The sequence below is a fragment of the Homo sapiens genome, chromosome 20, assembly GCF_000001405.40.
Source record: "Homo sapiens chromosome 20, GRCh38.p14 Primary Assembly".
NCBI lineage: Eukaryota > Metazoa > Chordata > Mammalia > Primates > Hominidae > Homo > Homo sapiens.
In genome coordinates, this window is record NC_000020.11 from 11443954 (window position 1) to 11446012 (window position 2059).

A 2059-nucleotide genomic window follows, 5' to 3' on the forward strand; every position below is an offset into this window, starting at 1 on the left:
TAGCCCAGCCCAGGAGCCTGGCTTTATTCAGGGAAAGCCTTCCTAATGCTATTACCTAAATGTGGCCAAATTGTTCCTATATAACTAACTGTTCCTGCAGTAATTGACATAATTGTTCTCTGCACCCAGCCAGGTGAAACTCCAGCTTTTAATGATAAATTTGTGGAAAAAAAAAGTTAAGGTATATACACAGATATTTACGTCACACCTCCCACCTTTGCCCCACTTCTTTTTCCACTCTGTTGGCAGCCTCAGAAATTTCAGTGCAAAGACAGTCATTGAAATGTTATTAATTATTATGAAAAATTAGAAATGAGAGAATGGTTGAATATATTATAGTAAGTTCATATTTGTAAACTCATGTTTAAAAACTTTTAAATGAAGTTTTCTAATATTGTACAAAGATATGAAAACTTCCTACGATGTATATTTAATTGAATGAATTGAATTGAATTAAATACATGTCTTTGCTTTAATTTTTAATTTTCAAAAATATTGCAACACTTGAGAAAGTTACAGGGAATAATCTAATGAACACTCAGAGAATCTGAAGGATGTGGTCCGTGTTGAGTCTGTGACTTGGCCAAGAATTTTGGAAGCATCGCCTTAGAATCCAGGACTCCTTATTTCAAGCCTAAGTTTGCCTTCTACACTGTTTCCTCCCTTTCCATGATAAACGTTTTATCAGACTATCTCTTTTCCTTACTTCTCTTAGAGCAGCTAGAGGTAGAAGAGGAAATTGCTTCAAATTCACCCTCTGGTCATAAATTATATCTCCCATATTTTATGGCAGGACAATTGTTTCAAGTTTTCTTCTATTCTTAAGCCAAAGTTGCAATATGTTTCAGAGATTTACCAGAATTTAGATTTTAATATAGAATAAGTGAATATATAAGTAAATCAACATATAAATAATATTTTAGATTTTTGTAAAATGTCACTAGGTCTGTAATACAGTGACATCAATCAAAATAAAACAAAAGTCAGTTTAAGAATGTTCTTCATTGTCCCCACCTTCAAAAAGCCTGGGTGTGCTAATGTAATTAATTGAAATTATAGGTTTAATAACTGCAGTGAGTTTTTTGCCATTCAACATTGAAGCCAATAACAATTTAATTTGGCTTTACATTGAAGATCAACACATTCTTTGACCATTTTCCTAAGAATAGCTTCTTTGGGCTATACATTTTGGAAACTAACAAGTGATTTTTAGGCCTGGAAATTCACTGGTGGATGAGAGAGACACCTCACAGAAGGTAGCTGGAGTTGGGATCTTGATTTCCTTTGAACGGAGGTGGATAGAAGCATACAGGCTCAGTGTTCTTTATTTAAAGAAATTGCTTCTGCTGGCAGTGTCCAATCTTGGCACCAATTCAGGTCACTCTTAGCTGGGGGCCAGTTCATTCCTCCCTCAGTACTTCCCCTGTTCTAAAATCGTTTCCTCAAATGACCCTGATCCTCAGCACTCACTGACTCTCTGAAGTTGAGGACTGGAAGAAATGACAATCATCCAACCAAAGCGTCTCAATGTATTTCTAGTTGAGCCTTTAATAAACATGCATGACATGCCACTTTTCTATCTTAAAATTCTGCTAGGGTACCCTACCCTTGTCAGAAAAGTAAGTTCTTCTGACCACTAACATTCAGAAATTTTTTTCTATCTACATGTTTTTTTTTCCTACCTCATGTCAGAAATTCTGATATGCATATCTCCCTCCCAAATGGTATGCTATTATTATTAATTGACAGTCATTGATTTAATCTAATCATCCAACTTTACAGGTAAAAAGTTTGTAATTTCCACAAGATTAAAGAACTCATGAAAGGTACAGAGTGAAACCTGAGTTTTCTTATTCCCAAACTGGAACTCTAGAATAGAGCCGTGTTGAGAATTCAGGCCTCACTGCTTCCTGTTCAGTTTCTCCATGCCATTGCTTCCTGTTCAGTTTCTCCATGTTGTCCTTGAATATTGCCTCCAACTTTTATATCCTAACCACCCCAGAACTGCCATCCCACCACCAAGACCTTACAATAGTGACTGCAGAAGCCAATCAAGTTT